The sequence below is a fragment of the Homo sapiens genome, chromosome 5 (assembly GCF_000001405.40).
Source record: "Homo sapiens chromosome 5, GRCh38.p14 Primary Assembly".
In the NCBI taxonomy this organism is placed as follows: Eukaryota; Metazoa; Chordata; class Mammalia; order Primates; family Hominidae; genus Homo; species Homo sapiens.
Window position 1 is genome coordinate 143092594 of NC_000005.10, and position 21692 is coordinate 143114285.

Sequence of the window (21692 nt, forward strand, 5' to 3'; positions counted from 1 at the left end):
GTGAACTTCCTTCACGTAGGTGGACTAGACTGTCTAAGGCCACAAGATTAGAAGTTAGGATAATACATGTTACACTGTTAACTTTTAGCAAACTTTACTTTTGTTGAAAACCTTTTAAGTTTGGGATTTCAATTATTCTTTGCTATTAATAAGACCTCGTTCAGTCCATATTAACTTAGAATTGGTATAGATGGCTCTTTCCTGATTCAGTAAGCACTTTAAGGCTTGACTGAGTGCAAACAGCTCCCACGTCTGAGCAGACCAATTATTAGGCAATTTTCCTAACTCTGCTTCTTCAAGAGTTTCCTTATCACTTACTGAATACCCACTGTGTCTTTTTCCCTCAATCACCGGGGAGGAACCATCTATCGTCCTGTCCTGAAGGGAGTTCCTCCTAGGTCTGCTCGGACCTTTGTATGGTAATTAAGATTTAGATCCCCTGTTAGGAAACCTGCTGGGTTAAGGGAATTTTTAGTGGTTAATGTTAAATCATCTTTTTCTAACAGAATAGCTTTATATGTTAAGGTTCTTGAGTCACTAAGCTACCTTTTTGCTTTTTTTTTTTTTGGACTTAGGGTAGTTCTGATCTGATGAGGTGTGCTCACAATGAGGTTTCCTCTAAAAGTCTTTTTAGACTTTCTGCTTTCTTCTGTTAGCAAAGCAGTTGCCGCTACAGGTTGAATGCATTTGGGCCATCTGCGGGTTACTAGGTTAAAGATTTTTGATAGGAAGGCTACTGGTTGTCAGTGGCCTCAGTGCTTTCGGGCCTTGTTTACACTGACAACAAGGTGGTATTGGAGTGTTATAGGGTCAGGAGAAGACCTTCAATTATCAATTATAGGTTTTAAATTTACCCTGGATTTTAAAGGAATAGGGTACACTGTTTTCTCTTTACTATTTCTATCTCTCTCTCTTTCTTTCTCTCTTTGACTTTCTGTCTCTTTCTCTCTTTGACTCCCTCTTTGTGTCTCTCTTTCTCTCTCTCTGCCTCACTCTTTCTCTCTGTCTTTGACTCCATCTTTGTCTCCTCCTCTCTCTCTCTGCCTCTTTCTCTCTTTCTTTCCTCTCTCTCTCTCTTTCCCCCTTTCTCCTCTCTGCTAGTCTTTCCCTGCCTCTGCCAACCACTTATGCTACTGTTCTCCCCTCTCCTTCCCCTTCCCCTAGGGGAGGGACCAGCGGGAGTGGAGCTACTCTTTCTTCCTCTGAGAAGAAAGGAAAGGGGGGTTCTGAATATTTTTCTTACTACCAGAGATTTTTGTGAGGTTCAACCCCACACCATGGGGATTTCTCACCTCTTTTAGAGGTTCAACTCCCACTTCATGGGGATTACTCGCCTCTTTTTGAGGTTCAACGCACCCCATGGGGATTTCTCACCTCTTGTTGAAGTTCAACGCCCCCCCATGGGGATTTCTCCCCTGTTTTTGAGATTCAGCTCCCACCTCCTCATGGGGACTTCTCACCTCTTTTTAACCTCCAAGACATCCCGACTAAGGAATACTTCACCACCACTCCCCCGCCCCCGCGGCTTTCTTTCCCTAATCCCGACTAAGGAATGCTTTACCGCCCCTGCGGTTTCTTTCTCCTTAGTATGTCCTAACCAAGGAATGCTTTGCTGCGTGGTGTCTTTTTCCTTAGTCCGGACCACCAAGGAAATACCTTACTGCCTCCCGTGGCATCTCCTTCCTTGGTCTGTGCACAGAGTCGTTGCCACAGTATGTGAGGATCCTTTAAGCTAGGTTGCTGGTCAGTTTCTTTTTTCCCTCGCGTTGCTGAGAGCTCAGGTTATTCCTCGCACTGGGTGGGTCTTGATTTCTCACCCCTGAGGCTGCCACAAGGGGGTGGGGTGCACCTCCTCACGAAAGAGAACCAGAGACCGCCCCCAGAGGGGAACGTAATCCCAGAGCAGCCCCTAATTGTTATATGTAAAGTTTCAGTGCCACAAAAGGAATAGCACTTGAATATAAAATTTTCTTTTTAATTCTCAGCAAGGCATGGTACCTCTGTATAGAAGGATGTGCCCTTACAGATGGAACAATGGTGAGCACACACTTGGACAAGGGAGGGGAAAGCCTTCTTATCCCTGACACGTGTGGCCCCTGCTGCTATGTCATTCCCCTATTGGCTAGGGTTAGACAGCACAGGCTAAACTAATTCCAATTGGCTAATTTAAAGAGAGTGATGGGGTGAGTGGTTTGGGGGGAAAATGGCTATGACAGAGCAGGTAATCAGAATGAGTCAGGGTGGAGCAGGTAATGGGAATGAGTCGGGGTGGAGCAGGTAATCGGAATGAGTCAGGGTGGAGTAGGTAATCAAAAAAGGTTGCTTTAAGAGGAAGTTAAGTTTAAAAGTAGAAGGCAAAGAATTGAACATACTGACATACTGATTATTTGAAAAGAAATTTAGAATTTATATCTAACAATAAATAGACTCATGTCTCTTGGTTTTAATTCTGTGAAAGGAAATTGTACCATATCACCTGGACTTTTGACTTATGGGTTCTAAGATAATATATTCTTACATATATACATTCATTTTAGATATATTCATATATTCATTATATATTACTATATAATATATATGTATAAAAACATATATACACAGTCACATACAATTTTTTTATTGAGGTGAAATTCACTTAACATAAATTAGCCATTTTAAAGTATACAATTCAATGGGATTTAGTACATTGACAGTATTATGCAACCATTCCCTCTAAGTCAAAACATTTTCATCACTCCCAAATGAAACCCTGTTCAAGATACTATATTCTTAACTCAGCAGTTCTAAACCTTTTTGTCTCAGCACCTCTTTACGCTCTTAAAATTTATTAAGGACTTCAACAGCCTTTGTCTATGTGGATTCTATCTGTTTATGTTTTACAGTATTGGAAATTAAAACTAAAACAATTTTAAAGCTTTATTTATGAATTTATTAAATGACATTTTACATTTTTGTAAATCTCCTTAATGTCTGACTTAATGGAAGATGACTGGATAAATCATATCTTCTTTTTTTCTCAGGCTGGAGTGTTGTGCTGCAATCTTGGCTCACTGCAACCTCCACCTCCCAGCTGGGTTCAAGCAGTTGTCATGCCTCAGCCTCCTGGGTAGCAGGGATTACAGGCACCCGCCACCATGCCCAGCTAATTTTTGTATTTTTGGTAGAGATGGGGTTTCACCATGTTGGCCAGGCTGTCTCAAACTCCTGACCTCAGGTGATCCACCTGCCTCAGCCTCCCAAAGTGCTGGGATTATAGGCATGAGCCACTGCTCCAGGCCTCATATCTTCTTCTTCACTCAATCTATTGTCATACAAAAATCAGTCCTAGCATATGCATATAGTCGGAAAAGGAAGAAATATTTTTAGTAGCCTTTTCAGATAATTTTGGATATTCTTTTTTTAAAACTCTACCAACATTCAACAAGTGGTAATTTTTTAAAAAAATTATTACAATGTGAAAAAATAAAATCATGTTAGTGAATTGTTCACATGCAGTTACATTAAGATCTATTGACCTACCTTGTACTTTGAGTGGATCTTTTACTTATGCATGATTTTTTCTTAGCCTACATTGCTCATTTAGAAAATATTAGTAAACTGCGTTATGCAGATCTTCCAATGCAAACATATTACATCATATAACATCAAAAAATTACATTTGTTAATATCACCACTTATTTTAAAAAGTCATTAAATATTGGGAAGTTGTCATGCTCGTGGTGCAGATCCAGATTTTCTAAAATTATGACGTTTTCTTGAAAGCATAAATTTTATCATTGCAACAAATATTACTGTTTTCCTTAAAGTAGACACTCACTTGGTTCATTTCTGAGAAAGTGTCTGCCAAATACCCAAGTGTCAGTAACCATATTTTGTCTGTCAGTTATTCTTTTACGTTTACATGGTGTTTCATGAAAAAAGAGGTTCAGCTTGCAACTCAGTCGCACAACTGCTTTCCCTCAAGTCAACTTCAGTATGCAGCAGAGGTGCTTTATGCACCTTTCCTCCTTCGTTATTATATAAAAGGTGTGCTAAAGGGTCAGGATTAAATAAAATTAATAATTTTGCTCATTTATCAAGTAAAGCTAGGCTTTTTTTTTTTTTAATCTGTGAGTGTGTAGCAGTGAAGAATACAATGACTATTGGTATAACTTGGTACCACTGTCTAGATTCATGCGAAGCATCACAGTTCAACTTATCTTTTTTTTGCATCTCATGGAACCCCTGAAGGGTGTTGGAAACCTCCCCGTAGTTAATGGACCAACAGAGAACCACTGTCCTAAAGAAAATAAAAATCACAAAATAGCTTTGTATGGCCTAGAGAACATAATATCCTCATTCTAGCCACCTCTTAAAAGAAGCATGTCTGGGCCGGGTGCGGTGGCTCACGCCTGTAATCCCAGCACTTTGGGAGGCCAAGGCAGATGGATCACATGTATCTCCATTTTCTGGACTCAAATACAGACCATGCGCGGTGGCTCATGCGTGTAATCACAGCTCTTTGGGAGACCAATGCGGGAGGATCTTTTAAGGTCAGGAGTTTGAGACCAGCCTGGCCGACATGGCGAAACCCCGTCTCTACTAAAAATACAAAAATTAGCTGGGCATGGTGGTGCGTGCCTGTAATCTGGGGTGGGGCAGGGGAGGCGGCTGAGGCAGGAGGACCGCTTGAACCTGGGACGTGGAGGTTGCAGTGAGCCGAGATTGTACCACTGTACTCTGCACTCCAGCCTGGGCAACAGAGAGAGACTCCGTCTCAAAAAAAAGAAAAAAAAAAAAAAAAAAAAAAAGAGCATATCTGACTGTAAAGTACAAATCAGAGGGAAATTCCCTGTGAGTACATTCAGGTAACTTTACCTAATTCTATAGAAGTCGTCATTTACCTTCCTGAGAATTTGACAAATTCTGTTGAAGCAGAGCTAATGTGAAAATTGCCTTATGCAATGGCCGGGCGCGGTGGCTCACGCCTGTAATCCCAGCACTTTGGGAGGTCGAGGCGGGTGGATCATGAGGTCAAGAGATTGAGACCACCCTGGCTAACACGGTGAAACCCCGTCTCTACTAAAAATACAAAAAAAATTAGCTGGATGTGGTGGCAGGCACCTTTAGTCCCAGCTACTCGGGAGGCTGAGGCAGGAGAATGGCATGAACCTGGGAGGCGGAGCTTGCAGTGAGCCAAGATTGCGCCACTGCATGCCAGCCTGGGTGACAGAACGAGACTCCAACTCAAAAAAAAAAAAAAAAGAAAATTACCCCACGCAACCTACTGATGTCTAAGATTTTTTAATTCAGATGTCTCTGACATATTTCATTTGGTGACAACGTTCAGTGGGACATATTTTGTATTGGTTGTAAAAGTCTGGAGGTTTTTTTAATGAATTATTTGTAGAATTCCAATTTTTAAAAAGTTGTAGTTCTGCCTTGGAATCTTCTCAGAATTCCATACAGTTTTTACTATACAGAAGAACTCTTCCTTTATAATAGCGCTGCCTCAATTTTGTTCTACTTGAGAACCTAATTAAATAATTTGGAGTTTCAAGCTTAGAATTCTCATTTTAAGCCTCCTTTAAATTCTTGTTCTACAGCTGTGCTTGACATATTTGACCATAAGTTCTAATGTTAGGGTTCAGACCATGTATTCTTCTTTAATATTTACATTGGATAGCATAACTGTTAAATGGTATTTTAAAAAGCCAATTCCTTCTAAGCATACAATTCCGCAATGTCATTTTAACAATAACGTAGGTGATTTTTTTAATTTTTAAATTAAATTTTGTTATATTTTGTACAAGTATGTTACTCTTAATGGTGAATTCAAGTTTGACTTAAAACCAGTTCTTGGGAATAATTAGTATGGGAAGTTTAATTGACAGTAAGGTCAGCATGAAACAACAGATTGATCAATCTACCCTCAAAAGCTAGTGTAATTTTAATCTACATTAGCTGAATTATTTTATCTAGAAAAGAGAAAGACCAATTCTTTATAATATTATCAACAGTGGGTAGACATGATAGGAAAACAATATTCAGCCCATAATATTGCAAAGAGAAAAAAACATGAAGATTGGACTTGAATCATGGATCTGTTCTTTCTTAGCTAGGTGACAACCTTGCTAAGTATTCAATTCCTCCGAGCCTCAGTTTTTTCATCTTTCAAATTGGAGTAATAACTTCTCCCTCATAGAAAATGAATTTAATAGTATAACACATATTAAGAAATTAACACATTGCCTTAAACTTGATGAACATTCAATAAATAGGGTTAGTGTTAAAGTATAACTTTAAAAATATTTTTTAAACATGACTTTGTGAAAGTATAGTATAGAATAAACACGTCAAAGGTCTATGAGGCTACCAGTAGAAATAGAAAGTGGCTTCAAAAGAGGACAGCAGAGGCTTGTTTATATGTCCAATGAAAGACACAATGCTGAAAAAAGGTCACAAAGTTTGATTTAAAACTGGTTAATGTTCTGTAGGGCAATAAAACCTCAACTTTTGAGATTATCTTTTCTGCTGGACAGAAGTTATTTGCATCTCTACCAGACAAAAATAATTTGCAAACATACCAATTTTAACTTAGTTTGATATCTATCTTTGCAGAAGCTGAGTCTTCATTCATAGTAAATAGCGTAAGTTAAGCAAAACTTACATATCCCTAAAAAATTATATTCCCAGAAAGTAAGGACCTAAGCTGACAACATAGCTGCCCTGGGCAGGTGGGGGGCACAGGTAGAGGAATATAGAATTGCCAGTGTTGGTTAACTTGGATTTCAAAACCATGTGAGAATGAGGGTGAGACATGGGGACCACTTGTGGGGTGGAAGAAGTTGGAACTGAGACCCTACCTTAATCAGGGATCCTTGACAGGCCTCACCATCATTGAAAGGATGGACGAGATAAAAAATCTACTTTCTAGCACAGGGATTCAATAGGGAATTTATTTTTCTATCTCAGCCTGGCATCTGTAAGGAAATTTGTAACCACATTCAAATTCATTTTCGCAGTGTCACTCAGTGATACCTCTTGTATACTCACTCTGTGTGCACTTAACCTGTGTTATTTAGGATTTCCATAAGTGAAGTTCCTCTGCTGATAAGTCCAAAATTATAAACACACAAGGAAGTAACCCACCATTAGCTAGAGTGGTGGCAATAGCGGGAAGCAATGTGGGGGAATATCAAAACCCAAGAACTTCAAGAATAAAATCATAATAGAAAAATTCCATTGAGACCATAAAATAGTTATGTTTCAAAAATAAAAACAATAATAAGGGATTAAAACCAAAAGAACAGGCATATTTGAAAGAACCAACTAGAAGGTACAGAAATTTTTAAATATTGTTGAAATTAAAAACATAGCTGATGCAATAAATATCAGACTAACCAAAGTAGATGCAAGACTGAGCAAACAGGAAAATAACTTCAGACAATTTGCCAGAATGCAGTCCAGGGAAATAATGAAATAGAAAACACTTGAAGATACATGAAAGGCAGTATGAGAAGGTCCAAAATATGGCTATGGGAGCTCCAGGTGAGACTAGAGCAAATGGGAAGAGGTCATATTTGAAGAGAATGGCTGAGAATTTTCTAAAATTGAGAGACGTGAAATATCAGGTTCAGTATCACAGCCACTTCTGAAAAGAAAAATAAAGGTAAATAAGTCCACACAAATACTCATCCTAGAGAAGCTGCAGAATACTTCTTGTATACACAAAGGGAAAATCCATAAAGAACAACCCTTGAATAATAAATAAGAGCCAAACAGCCATGGCCTACATTGTGTGGGAAATAGCGAAGGAACATCCAGTCACTAGCCTTATCCTTGGCACCATAAATCCTGGTAACACTAGCAAGTTAAATGATGCAGACTTTCTTCTCTGCTGTGAAAGTAGTTTTACACCAACATCCCGTAGATGTGGGATTTACAACTGGACATTGTTTCTTGTACTTACGGTATCACCTCTGATTTTCAGCTTAATCACCTCCCATGGTGTGAATTTGGGAAGCGTAGCTTCCTTTCTTCCAGTTTTAGGTTTTGGACATAAAACCCAGGTAGTCACTGCTTGGCAGTCTCCTTAGGGACTCTGCTGGCTTTGTGGGCAGGAAATGAAGTCTGTTTACCTTAGGCATGCACTTGATTTTCATAAGGTGCTCCTTTGCTTCTCCTTTCTAGTATGAATGGGTACATGTATCTCCATTTTCTGGACTCAAATAGAGGCCATGCACGGTGGCTCATGCCTGTAATCCCAGCTCTTTGGGAGGCCAATGCGGGAGGATCACTTAAGGTCAAGAGTTCGCGACCAGCCTGGCCAACATGGCGAAACCCTGTCTCTACTAAAAAAATTGAAAAACTAGCTGAGTGTGGTGACGTGTGCCTGTAATCTCAGCTACCTGGGAGGCTGAAGCAGGAGAATGGCTTGAACCTGGGAGGCGGAGGTTGCAGTGAACAAACATTGTGTCACTACACTCCAGCCTGGGCAACAAAGCAAGACTCTATCTCAAAAAACAAACAAACAAACAAAAAACCAAAGAGTTCTGAAGCCATTCTTCACTTGAGAAGCATCACTGAGAATGCGTCATATGCCAGAACACCTCTCTCTTGGATCATTGCAAGAGAGTTAGGAAGGAATGAGAATGAGTCTGGCAGGAAGGATGCATTTTTAGAGATGAGGGCAAAACAGAAAATTACTCTGGTTCGAGTGTGTCATTTCTCTTTCTCATAATTTTTTGTTTCACTTTCAGTGCTGGGGACCAACAGGTCTCTTGATGTAGGGTTGTGGCCCCATACACCTTCTATTTCTGCTCAGGGAGTGGGCCTTAAATGTGTCTTTCCTGGGCCTTCATACAGTCCTCACTCTTTCCTTTGGTTTTTATTAACAAAAGGTGATTGTTTTCTTAGCTCTTTGGGGGTGACTCCTTCTCATCAGGTGTCACCATTTCTGATTTTTTTCCCTCTCCTTTCCTTAACATCCAACCAGGCAGTGCTTTGGTGTTTGTCAGATATAATGCTCTTCAGGTAATATCTTTCTTTAATTACTTTTCCCTTCTTTTTTTTTTTTAATTTCCCTGAAACAGACACACACACTGTTGCCTTGAACAATTGCTTCCTACCTCCCTCTCTCTGGGAACTGGATTAATTTTTTTGTCATTGCTTAATGGAAATGTCGACATTTCAATTTCTGCTGCATGTTCTACACAAAATTTAACTGGACAAGATAGGGAGAGAAGCTGGAGAAGGGAAAGTTCGTCATATGACATAAAAGCTTTTTTTTTTTTTTTCTTCCATAATGGCTTAGAGTGTGCCTTCCTTAAAAAGGGGGAAGCAGCTACTATGGCAACAGGTTCTATTTTCCTTAGGGGCTGTGGTGGCGCTGATAGAACTGGAGTCTGGAGAACATGAAACAATAGCCAGGAGCCCCAGGAGCCTGCAGCATGTTTTTTTTGTAGTAATTACTAGCCTTTTCCATGATTCAAAACTATGTGGTAAGTGGAACTGGGTAGGTTGGTGGTGGTTTTGTTTCTGAGTGATATAGACAGCAGGACCGTGAGTAAGGGACCCTCTCTACATCTCACAGAGAACCCGTACAGTGCGCGCCTGGCTGGGGAGACTGCTCTGCTCCAGCCCAGATATCCCTCCCTCTTCTCTTCACTTCCTGCCTTCCAGGCCTGGGGCTCCCTCCTGATAAACTTCAGTCTGTTCCACTAGCAAGTACCAGAGTGTGAGTCTCCCCTGGCAGGTCTTCCTAGAAATGCCACCTCCATTTCTTTCAGAGGTTTCCCTTCATTAAAGACCTCAGTGTCGGCCCCAAACATGCAGAAAAGGGGTGCTTGTTTGACTCTCCTAGAACAAGTTCTTATCAGAGGCAATCTTTTTCCTCCCCTAACTCAGAATGCTGATCCTCATAAAGCTTGAGCAACAGTGCTTGGTTCTGCTAATCACTGCTGGACCCATGCCGGTCACACAATTAAAAGTTGGCGTTTGGGACTTTGTGGCCTGGTTACACCCCTGTGCCTGTTGCGTCGCCCATCCGGGCTCTAGGGAGACAGAGACTCTTTCATTGCACAGCTCATGAAATACCAGAGGAGAAAGCTTGCTTTCTTACCAAAGCATTCTTCACTAATAACGTTCTCTGCATATACTCCAATCCTGCCTCTTTGAAACTTCTGTTTAAATTAGTTCTCCTCCTCCTTCTCCTTATCATTGTGCTTTGTACAGCCCTTGATAATTTTCAGTACTTTTTTCACCTCCCTTGCTTGCTTTGTCCTTACAGCATCCCAGTGCCTCTATGAAATAGACCAGGGAAGAGGCAGCACAATCCATTTTTGGTCTCTGTGGTAGCCACAAACGTTTATATAATGCCTCCCAAGTGCCATGGTGGAGTCTGGTGGAGTCTGCCCAGCTTCACAGGGGGGATCTGACATCTCCCAACTATTTTTCTTCCCCATGAAAATTTGTGAAAGATATATGGATTATAAACACAAGGATACCTTAATAGGTGTAGAGCTTTATTAAATTTTTAAAATGTAGAACTAAGGTGCCATCCTTGCCTGGTATGTCGTCTTCTTTACCTGTTCTTTTGATTTGCTTTGCTGCAGACTAATTGTGCCTGGGACCTTAAAAGTCACTGGATCAGTAGACATGGGAAAAAGTTCAATATCATTACTCTTCAAAGAAATGAAACTTTTAAAAGTCAGGAAACAACAGATGCTGGAGAGGATGTGGAGAAATAGGAACGATTTTACACTGTTGGTGGGAGTGTAAATTAGTTCAACCATTGTGGAAGACAGTGTGGCAATTCTTCAAGGATCCAGAGCTAGAAATACCATCTGACCCAGCAATCCCATTACTGGGTATATACCCAAAGGATTATAAATCATTCTACTGTAAAGACACATGCACACGTATGTTTATTGCAGCACTGTTCACAATAGCAAAGACTTGGAACCAACCCAAATGCCCATGAATGTTAGACTGGATAAAAAAAAAAATGTGGCACATATACACCATGGAATACTATGAAGCCATAAAAAAGAATAAGTTCATGTCCTTTGCAGGGACATGGATGAAGCTGGAAACCATTCTCAGCAAACTAAGAGAAGGAACAGAAAACCAAACACTGCATGTTCTCACTCGTAAGTGGGAGTTGAACAGTGAGAACATATGGGCACAGGGAGGGGCACAGCATACACCGGGACCTAACAGGGGGTAGGGGGAAGAGGAGGATAACCTTGGGAGAAATACCTAATGTAGATGACGGGTTGATGGGTGCAGCAAACGACCATGGCACATGTATACCTATGTAACCAGCACATTCTGCACGTGTATCCCAGAACTTAAAGTATAATAAAAATATATATATATACACACAATGGAATATTATTCAACCTTAGAAAAGGAGATCCTGCTATTTGTTACAACATGGATAGACCTAGAGAAAAAAAAAAAGAGAGAAATGAAACTTAAGATAAAAGCTTTCAAAATAGCAATACCTTATTTTGGTGCTAGTGAAAGCACCAAAAGGAAAAATAAAGGTCCTAGGGAAATGGGCATATTAAAATTTTCTAGGTGGGAATGTAAATTGACATAGATCTCATGGGTGACAGTTTGGTAATATCTATTAAAAATATTTATGCTGGCTAGGCACAGTGACTCACGCCTGTAATCCCAGCACTCTGGGAAGCCGAAGCAGGTGGATCATTTGAGGTCAGGAGTTTGAGACCAGCCTGACCAACATGGTGAAACCCCATCTCTACTAAAAATACAAAAATTACCCTGCAGGTAGTGGCACGCACCTGTAATCCCAGCTACCTGGGAGACAGAGGCAGGAGAATCGCTTGAGCCTGGGAGGCTGAGGTTGCAGTGAGCCGAGATCACACCACTGCACTCCAGTCTGGGCGAGAGAGTGAGAACCTGTCTCAAAAAAACAAAACAAAACAAAAAAAGTATGCCCTTTCATCCAGAAATTCTATTTCTATGAATTTATTCTAGGGAAAGAAAGATATATGCACATATTTGTGTACATAGAGATTCACTGCAATATTAGTGGAAACAATAAAATATTGGAAACAATCTGACTGTCCAATAACGGGAGATTTCTAAATTATCGAATACCCATACAGTGAAACACTGTGCCACCATAACAATGTTGAGTGAGACAATGAATGGTACTTGAAAAGTTCATAGTAATGCAGTAAAAAACAAGTTATAAAACTAGGTGTCTGCAGTATGATTCCAACTTGATTTGAAATATGAGTGTGTGTGTGTCTGAAAAAAACATGGAATGTGACACGTATACCTTAAAACATTGAATAACATTTAGTTATTTCTGGATGGTAGAATCACTGGTGATTTTTATTTTCTTTGTGCTTTGTATCAGTTATTCCACAGTAAATACTTTCATTTATCAGAAAATAAAAGAGAAAACATGTATCTTTTTTTCCCCCTAACGATAGCACTGAAAGAAAGAGTAAAGGGTAAGCTATTTAAAAATAGGCCTAATCGGCTGGGTGTGGTGGCTCATGCCTATAATCCCAGCACTTTGGGAGGCCAAGGTGGGCGGATCACCTGAGGTCGGGAGTTTGAGACCAGCTTGACCAACATGGAGAAACCCTGTCTCTACTAAAAATACAAAAAATTAGCTAGGCATGGTGGCACATGATTGTAATCCTAGCTACTCAGGAGGCTGAGGCAGGAGAATCGCTTGAACCCGGGAGGCGGAGGTTGTGTGAGCCAAGATTGCGCCATTGCACTCCAGCCTGGGCAACAAGAGCGAAGCTCCATCTCAAAAATAAATAAATAAATAAATAAATAAATAAATAAATAAATAAATATAAAAATAGGTCTAACCTAAAGACCAAACTGACATTAGCTAATGTCATTACATGATTCTGTCTTAACGAAGATAGAAGCATTTTATTGCGTAAGTTTTCTTCTGTGTGTGGGAATCATATGTGGGTGTATATATGTTTAAGGGGTATGCATCCGGGTAGACGTTTGTGTGTGGACATGTGTGTACAGGTATATAAGTACATGTGTCATAGCCTTGGTACAGGTCTCATAGCCTTGCAGCACTGTGTTCCTGGCGGGAGTGGCATCTGTCTGCATGTCTGAAAATGCCACGTGTGCATTCTGCTGATCACCAAGGTTCGTGGCTGTAGGCATCCTCTCTTCAGTGCGTCAGAAGTCTGAAGAACATGTAGCTGCACCGGGGCGTTATGGGAAAGTAACGTGTAGGATTTATTAACTCATTTCTTGAAGCCACTCACTGTTTGTTTTTAAGTACCAATTTTTATTTTCCATTGCCAAATAGAGAAGAGACTTTTTTTGGTGAGTACAAGTATGAGTGATTTTTTTTTTTGGTCATTTTTATAATGAACTATTTGAATCCTGACTTTTCGCAGAGTAGCAGGACTCCCTGAACTGTGTTTCTTCCTCTCCCCACAAGTTTACCAAGCCCAAAGGGTCTTTTTAAAGGGTGACTTTTTCTTTTGTTGTTTGTCTTGTTTCCCACCCTTACTTAATGATTACTTAGCTCTTTATATAATCCAGCTAAATGCTGGTACATAGCAACAGGATTGTGGTGTGGCTTTCTCCTTGATGTAAATTTCTGGAAGATGGCCTTCTGTATGGAAGACTGAGCAGTGGGATCTATTAGTGACATGTTTTTGGGAGGAGCTGCTTCCTAAATGGGTTGAGGCTGCAGAGATGGGCAGGAGGAGCAGCCAGAAGCCACAGGGTGTTCGCATCATTGTGCGGGTAACCACATGGTGGCAACGATTGCACAGCTTCCAGTTGTACTTAGCAGCTGTTGACACAGACTTCAGAATTCCCATGGAAAAGGAAGTGAACTCCTTTGGAATACAATGCATTGGGCTTTTTTTTTTTTTTTTTTTTTTTTGAGGTGATGTCTCAATCTGTCACCCAGGCTAGAGTGCAGTGGTGCAACGTCAGCTCATGGCAACCTCCGCCTCCCGGGTTCAGGCGATTCTCCTGCCTCAGCCTCCCGAGTAGCTGGGACTACAGGCACGTGGCACCACGCCCAGCTAATTTTTGTATTTTTAGTAGAGACAGGGTTTCTCCATGTTGGTCAGGCTGCTCTCGAACTCCTGACCTCAGGTGATCCACCCACCTCGGCCTTCCAAAGTGCTGGGATTACAGGCATGAGCCACTGCACCCAGCCTGGGCTTCATTTTAAAGCGGTCTCAGGCAGGCATTGCTGATGCTTGTGGTTGAAGATACAACTTATTATTGCCTAGGTGTATGAGGGTGTGATTTGTTGTCTGCCTCTAGGCTGTAGACTTCTGGACTGCACTGTTTGATTAATGGGCTCAGCTCACAGGTCTCTTCCCTAGAGAGGCCTTCCTGGCCTACCTAAGTTGGTCCTCTTAGGTTTTGTCATATACCTCTGTTTGATTTCTTCATGGCACTTCTGTAATCTGACATTTTTACTGATGTATCTGTGTGTTATTTGCCGTCGGAATGAAAGCAGGGATCTTGTCAGTCTCGTTCACTTCTTTATCCCAGTGCCCAGAAGGGTGCATGGCATCTCATAGGTGTTCAGTCGGTATTGGGTGTGAGCATACTTGGTGTGTTTAGGAACAGACAGAAGGCCAGGGTAGTTAGAGCTCTGTGAATAAGAGCATGGTGGTATGACATGAGGTTGGAGGGGTCAGTAGGCAGGGGCTGGATCGTATAGGCCACGATGAGGTGTTTAGATTTGCTCAAGGATCTGGTATTCATTAAGTGGTTTCATCTCTGTAGATTTATATACTCTCCAGATTGGTCTGCTAAAGTCAGTTACTGATGGCTTTTCTGCTGGGAATTGTGCATCATTCTGTCCTTGAAGTGCCACTGTAGCCTACACTGTATTTCTCCCCCTATCTCAGCTGCCATCAGCTTGGCCTTCTTCACCCACCTTTTCTGTTGAGCCAGGCAAAGCAAGATGACAGCAACTAAGATGTCAGGCTGTGATGCCTGCACAATAGAAAGCATTTTAGAACTTTGTCATTAAACACTTTGACTTCCCCTTTGAAAAATATCTGTTTAGGTTTGGGCTTTGTGAGTGACTCTTGCTGAGAGTGTGAATGTTGGGTGGATCAGGGACCCAGATCTCGACTTCACTCTGAATCGTTCGGTGTCTTTGTTACCAGACACGATCTGCTCTTCTCTGCCTAATGATAGTTGGTTTGCTCACCTTGGATCTCTGGTTTCTGTTGTCAACCCTGTATTTTAAAATTTGCTTTCATGGTAGCAGAATTCAATGAGTTTCCAGCTTTGTGCCACCTTTGAGGAGGATAAATCAGGTTTTGCTTTGCATGTGTTGAAGTAAGAACTTTATTGGCTTCATTCCCTGACAAATCTATTTTTGTGATTAAGGCAATAAATATAACAGAAGGGTTTGTGTGTTCACTCTAATCCTCACATGTACCACTATATATAAACACTGTTATTTTGTATGGATGAATAAATAAGAGGAACTGTTGTATCCCTTAGGCTTGAACTTACATTGAAATTTTAGGAGATAATGATTTAGTGCAGCAAGGAGCTAGGAGGTGTTGCCACAGAGTTTCAGGAGGAGAGGGATATAAAGGTGTAATCAATTCAGATTGTTTCTAACTTTTATGGATTGTGAAGATTTGTATTCCTTTTTCAGTGGATTCCATTCATTAGCGTTAGACATGTAAACATATGGAATGTGGATGTACTATACCAGTAATTTTCATGGATGTTAGAGCTCTAGGATGTTTTTCACCTTTTACCGTATGAATTGACCTCCAGAACTTTCCCATGGGGTCTCAGCTCTTGTACATGAAGAGCATAAACTTTTCTGGACACCATACATTACTGTTTTTTTTCTGTCTTCTAATCAAATATCCAAACATAATCTAAAAGTACCGTGACAGGACATATAGGTTTGTCAATTCCAGTCACTTTGGTAGACTGGCCCTTGAAATAAAGCTAACGTTTTCAACTTCAGCCTCCCAGTGTTTTTTCAGACTTATGGCAGGGAATGTAATTTTCTGTTTGCTTTTTGGGGTGAAAGTACATTCCATTTCAAAAATATGCCAGTCACATGAGTTATTTCCCTCATTTAAAAAATCCCCACAAAAGGAGATAGGTTACCTAGGGTGGGTATTTCATGAGTGTATGCTTCTTTATCAGTCTGTCCATCTCTCTGTAACATTTCCCATGAACCCTTCTGTGGATTTGGAATCTTAGTCCTTCCAGAAAGGATTATGGTCATGTCCATAGAAGCTGCAATGAGATTTACATCTCTTGGGAAGTGACAAGCTCTCAGCGCAAGCTCTCAGCGCTGGGTCCCAGAGCCACTGTTCCTGTTGGAGCTAAGCCACATGGCTAAGGGCCAGTCCCTTAACCTTTGATTTAGCTCCTTTTGTCCCTGTCCTTTCATCTGTAAAATGGTGCTAGTAATGTGGATCTGGTTTCAGAAGACTGCTGTTTATTTTAACTAATTAAAGATTGTTACAATGGTGAAATTCAATGGACTCTACAAATATTAATATTGGTGCTGATCATGGGTGGCTATTAGCTGGGTAGCAGGTAACTCGCACCTAGAAGCTCTTACCTGCTCTACGCCCCAGTTCAGGTTTGGCTAAGATTCTGTTCTTCCACCAGGCTTCCCAGTAGAGGTCTCCAGCACAATGACCAAGAGGAAAATGGGCAACAACTGCAGAAACCTATGAGGTTAACACAGATATATAGGCGCAAAGGCACAGGGCCTGACACATTTTAATTAAATATGAACAGTACTGTAATCTGGTTTGTACATGTCTTGAATTCTCTTATTGGGTTTTATGCTAGCTTGTAAAGTTCTTATCTCTTTTTGGTTTTTGTTTGTTTTTGTTTTTGTATTTTTTTTTTTAGACAGCGTCTTGCTCTCACCCAGGCTGGAGTGCAGTGGTGCGATCTCAGCTCACTGCAACCTCCATCTCCTGGGTTCAAGCCATTCTTCTGCCTCAGCTTCCCGAGTAGCTGGGACTACAGGCACACCACATTTTGTATTTTTAGTAGAGATGGGGTTTTGCCATGTTGGCCAGGCTGGTCTCAAACTCCTGGCCTCAAATGATCTGCCCACCTGAGCCTCCCAAAATGCTGGGATTACAGGTGCAAGCCGCCACACCCGGCCATATCTCTCTCTCTTTGAATGTTAAGCAACCTATGGAATTTCAGCATTTAGGTCTTAGTTGAGACCTTTCCGAGTCTACAGAGAGGATGACTAATACTGTTACCCCTCTGATCAGAATTTTCTAATTGCTTTTCATCTCACTCAGTCAAGAACAAAGCTTTTACAGTGGCCTGCAAAGTTTTCCAGGATTTGCCACCCTCAAGTCCATTATGTCTCTGACTTTTCCTGATACTTGCCCTCTTGCTCTCTGGGCTCCAGGTACACTGGCATTACCAGCATGCCACCCAGGTACTTACCCCGAGGTGTTTGTACCTGCTGTTTCCTCTGCCTGTAGCTCCCTTCCCAGATGTCCTCATGGCTTGGCAAGACATGCCTTCTCCATGAGATGTCCTTGACCACCAGTCTAAAGCTACAAACATTTCCTCTATACTCCCCATCCCTTTCATGCTGGCTGTTTCATCATAGCACCATATATTTTCTTTGCTTATCGCCTGTCCTACTCCAAAAGAATGTAAGCTTCTCTAAGGCAGGAAACTGGAGGAGTCTGTCTTGTTCACCAGTATATCTCCAGCACTTAAAGCAGTCCCTGGCACACAAGGGGTGCTAAAAAATAGTTGGTAATTGAAAAATAGATGTTGCAGTTTTGGCCTTTGTGCTGGGTCACCTTGCACTTTCTTCGTTGGGTAGAAAGTCCCAAAGCAATGTCTCCATGGCTTGCTTGACTTTGGGACAATGTTAGCTTAAAGGTAGTAGGTTGTGTGGTTGAAGGAAATGTCAGTAACAACAGGAACCGGCATTTGCAGCACTTGGTAACACCAGACTGGCATACACATGTGCAACTTTTAAACCTCCTCTATTTACCCTCTGGCATCTTTTTCTAGATGTGAGAACTAATCAATAAATCAATGATAATGAATGTGGAAGCATTTTATAAACTATAAAATGCTTTGCAAATGTTAATTACATTGGACTTTAGAATGAATTGTTATGTAATTTAAAATAGTTAAGTAATTTTCCAGGAAGAAAGGCTTTCTGAGTCAGCTTCTCTGCACGTCTTTTTATATGTGAATGCTGCTCTTCCCCATCTGCACCCTGTGGACTGGGACCAAGAATACAGCTACTAGCTGAAGCCTAAACTGTCCAGGATGAGATAGGTGAAAGCTAATCAGTTAACCCCTGGATCTAAGGAATGTGTTTTCCCTGTGCATGAGACTTCTCAAATCCCAGGTAGCTGAGACAATGTAGGGCAAATAAAATGCAGGTTGGCCTATTTAATCTCTAAATGACTAATTTTGGAAAACTAGGCAGCTTACAGCAAAAGTATCATTCTTCTTGGGTTCTAGTAATTCCCATGACCCAGATTAGTTTATTTACCAGTAGAGAAGCTTAGAGATTTTATACTGTTGGTGGACATAGATGACCCTAATATTCTTGTTTGCTTTCAAATTATCCTTGTAAAAATAATCAGGTTCTTCTTTGACCCATGATCTCCTTAAGGTTAGGCCATGTAGAAAAGAAGAGAAGCAAATGAGATAAAATAACAGGATATGTATTGTATCTCTCCCTCTGTCTGTCAGTCTCTCTCTCTCTCTGCCTCATACTAGAGCATTTAAGAGCAGTAGATTTGAAATCAGACTGCAGACTTTTTGGTCTCAAATTCTAGATATGTGACCTTAGACAGATTTCTGAATTTGTCTGAGCTCCAGCCTCTCCATTTGGGATATTAATGGAATTTCCCTCCTAGGGTTATTTTAAAGATCACATGAGATAATTGAGGGAGTGGTTATCCCTGGCTCACAGTAAGTTCTCAGCTCATGTTAGTTGCTGTTACTGTTGATGGAAATCCTAGTAATAATAAAAGACAGGCAGGAAATAAAGGAATTTCAGAAATGGATAAAGAAAAGGAGAGATAGGAGACACTGTCTTAGAGAGCTATTAAATGTACTGAAAGGATCCTGGTATAGTAGTGTGAGCTCATGCTATATTATACAATGCATATTAGGTAATGCATGTAATAATTATTAGACCTCGTAAATATTTTTTTGGCTGTTATACCTTCCAGATTGTCCAGGGAGAGACGCCTAGTGCATTATATGCTGTCTGTGTCAGGATGAGCTGCTGTGGCCAACCACGTCCCCCAACTGCCCCCAGCTTGGCAAAGGCTCTAAGACAGCAGTAGGTGACGTGTTTAACCCAGGTACCTAGTGCAGCTGAGCCTTGACACACTTAGAAGAAGGTGGCCTCCCACAGCATCCATGTGTTCCTTTGTTTTCCATTCAACACATGATACGCAAACTGCTAGGCACTGGCGTGTGGCAGTGAGGGAGGCTGATGACATACCTGTCCTCTTGGAGCTCTGCTAAGTAGGGGAGACAGAAAATGTCAATTCCATGAATGGTGGTATATTTATAATTCAGTAAGTACCAGAAAAGAGAATTGAAGAATTAGAATTATAGTAAGGGACCTGACCTAGAGTGAGGTGTCCAGAAAGACCACTTTGAGGAAGAGTGGCAAGGAGGACAGAGCCAAGTCAAGAGGGAGAGGGGCTACAGAGTGGCCCAGGAATGGGGATCAGCATTAGGAAGGAAGGAACTGAGGCCCAAAGAAAATTTTAGCTCAGAGGTGGGAGAGTACAGGGACTGGGTAGAGGAGGGCCTTGAGAGGTCAGCTGGATCCTGTAGGTCCTTTGCCAAGGGTTTTCTTTAAGAAAATATATTTTTGTTGTTACTGTAAAATACATATAATGTAAACTTTACTACCTTGACTATTTTTAAGTGTACAGTTCAGTGGTGGTGTATAGTCACCAACACCATCCATCTCCATAACTAATCTTGTAAAACCGAAGCTCTGTATCCATTAAACAAAAGCTCCCGATTCCCCTTTCATCTGGCCCCTGGCAACCATCTTTCTACTTTTCAACTCTGTGAATTTGACTACTTTAAGTACCTCATATCAGTAGAATCATACAACATTTGTCTGTCTGTGACTGGCTTATGTCACCTAACACAATATCCCCAAGATTCATCCATGTCATAGTATATGCTAGAATTCCCTTCCTGTTTAAGGCTGAATAATACTATATTGTTTGTACGTAACACATTTTGCTTATCTGTTCATCCATCAGTAGACATTTGGGTTGCTTCTGCATTTTAACTATTGTGAATAATACTACAATAAAAATGGGTGTACAAATACTTCTTTGAGATCCCATTTTCAATTATTTTACACATATACCCAGAAGTGAAATTGCTGGATCAATGGTAATTCTGAGTCTAATTTTTTGAGGAGCTACCATACTGGATGCTAAAGAGTTTCAACTTGAAATTTAGAACAGTCAGAAGCCTTTGGTAGATTTTAAATAGGGAATGGAGTTGAATTAGAGAAGATGAGTGGAAATAGAGCTAGTTACACCCTCAGATTTTAGAATACCTCTGCGTTAGATTGCAAGCTATATGCAAAGAGGTATCTTGTCTTTTTTTAAGACAAATCCTTTTTCCTTTTCTCTAAACAATTTTCAGTACCAAGTGGGCCTCTGTTAGTGGAGGTTAAAGTGGACCTAAGTAATACTGAGCAGTACTTAACATCTCAGCAGCCTTCTTTACCCATCTGAAATGTAGCCATGTGTTTCCCCAGAAGCAGAGAACACTTTGCTAGTTATTCACAGAGCTTTGACATCCTTGAATGAAAGCAGTACAGCCTGGATGAATGCATATATGGCCATAATTATCTCCTTTTTGGACTACAGAACCCATTTTGGCTATTTTTCCCTCCTTTTTAAAATTTCTCCTCCTCTCTCAATCTTACAGGGCTCACTCTTTCATTATTAGGAACCGGCTCTGACTGTGCCAGCCAGCTATAAATGGAATGCCATCATATTTAAGGGTAGTTCATCATTTTCATAGTTTTGTCAAGTGTGCAGCCATTTTCCGCTGCAAGAAAGAGGAAGAAACAGTGTTTAGTCCAGTATCACTCCCACAGGCATAAATGCTCTTTCTCTCTTTTGTTTTTACTTCTTCCAATTTAGTGATTTGTGAAGTGAATGAGGGAGAGGCCCTCTTTTTCCTATTATAACCACTGATTTTTCCCCTACGGTGACTTCATTTTGGGTTGAATTTTCTGAGGAAGAAGAATGCCTTTTTAGCGTAGGTTGGACTTGCCCTGGTGGTGTGGGAGCAGGAGAGAGCTGGGGTTGGGAGTATGGACTCTGCAGACTTCATTCCCCTCCTGACTTTGCCCGTCGTTAGCTGTGTAACCTCGAGCCAATTACTTACCTTCTCAGTGCTTCTCTTTCCTCATTTGTAAAGTGGTAGTGACAGTGGTACCTGCCTGCCTCAAAGGGTTCTCCTGTTAGGAGACACTGTGTAGAAGTACCCACCATAAGCATTCAATTAATTATTTCAGGCTTCCTGTCTGGCTTCTCACTAGATAACCATTCCCAGGAAGATGTTAAATGTGTTTGGTGAGCCAGGCCTCAGTCAGTACACAGAACGATGTATCTGACACCCTCATTCTGGTGCCACCATTGGGGCAGTCCTGCAAGCTGTGT

General features: G+C 41.0%; 1 protein-coding gene across 36 annotated transcripts in view, besides 2 other annotated features; it reads left to right on the top strand.

Moving 5' to 3' along the window:
* Positions 1 to 21692, top strand: part of ARHGAP26 (Rho GTPase activating protein 26) — a 458635-nt gene that overhangs the window by 322217 nt on the left and 114726 nt on the right. Inside the window, exon 18 of one of the 36 annotated variants that reach the window (XM_047416989.1) lies at positions 10596 to 11366. The exons of the other annotated variants lie outside the window; for them this stretch is intronic. Within the exon in view, the coding sequence (XP_047272945.1) occupies positions 10596 to 10761 (166 nt within the window). The 3' untranslated portion in view covers positions 10762 to 11366. Of the gene's footprint in view, positions 1 to 10595; positions 11367 to 21692 lie in introns of those variants that run through there. 36 annotated transcript variants of the gene reach the window in all.
* Positions 727 to 1488: an enhancer, noted in NCBI's record as "OCT4-NANOG-H3K27ac hESC enhancer chr5:142472885-142473646 (GRCh37/hg19 assembly coordinates)". NCBI's record gives its function as "activates a minimal SCP1, AML or CMV promoter by ChIP-STARR-seq in primed H9 embryonic stem cells {active_cell/tissue: H9 hESC(primed)}" and the evidence as "EXISTENCE:reporter gene assay evidence [ECO:0000049][PMID:30033119]".
* Positions 1489 to 2249: an enhancer, noted in NCBI's record as "OCT4-NANOG-H3K27ac hESC enhancer chr5:142473647-142474407 (GRCh37/hg19 assembly coordinates)". NCBI's record gives its function as "activates a minimal SCP1, AML or CMV promoter by ChIP-STARR-seq in primed H9 embryonic stem cells {active_cell/tissue: H9 hESC(primed)}" and the evidence as "EXISTENCE:reporter gene assay evidence [ECO:0000049][PMID:30033119]".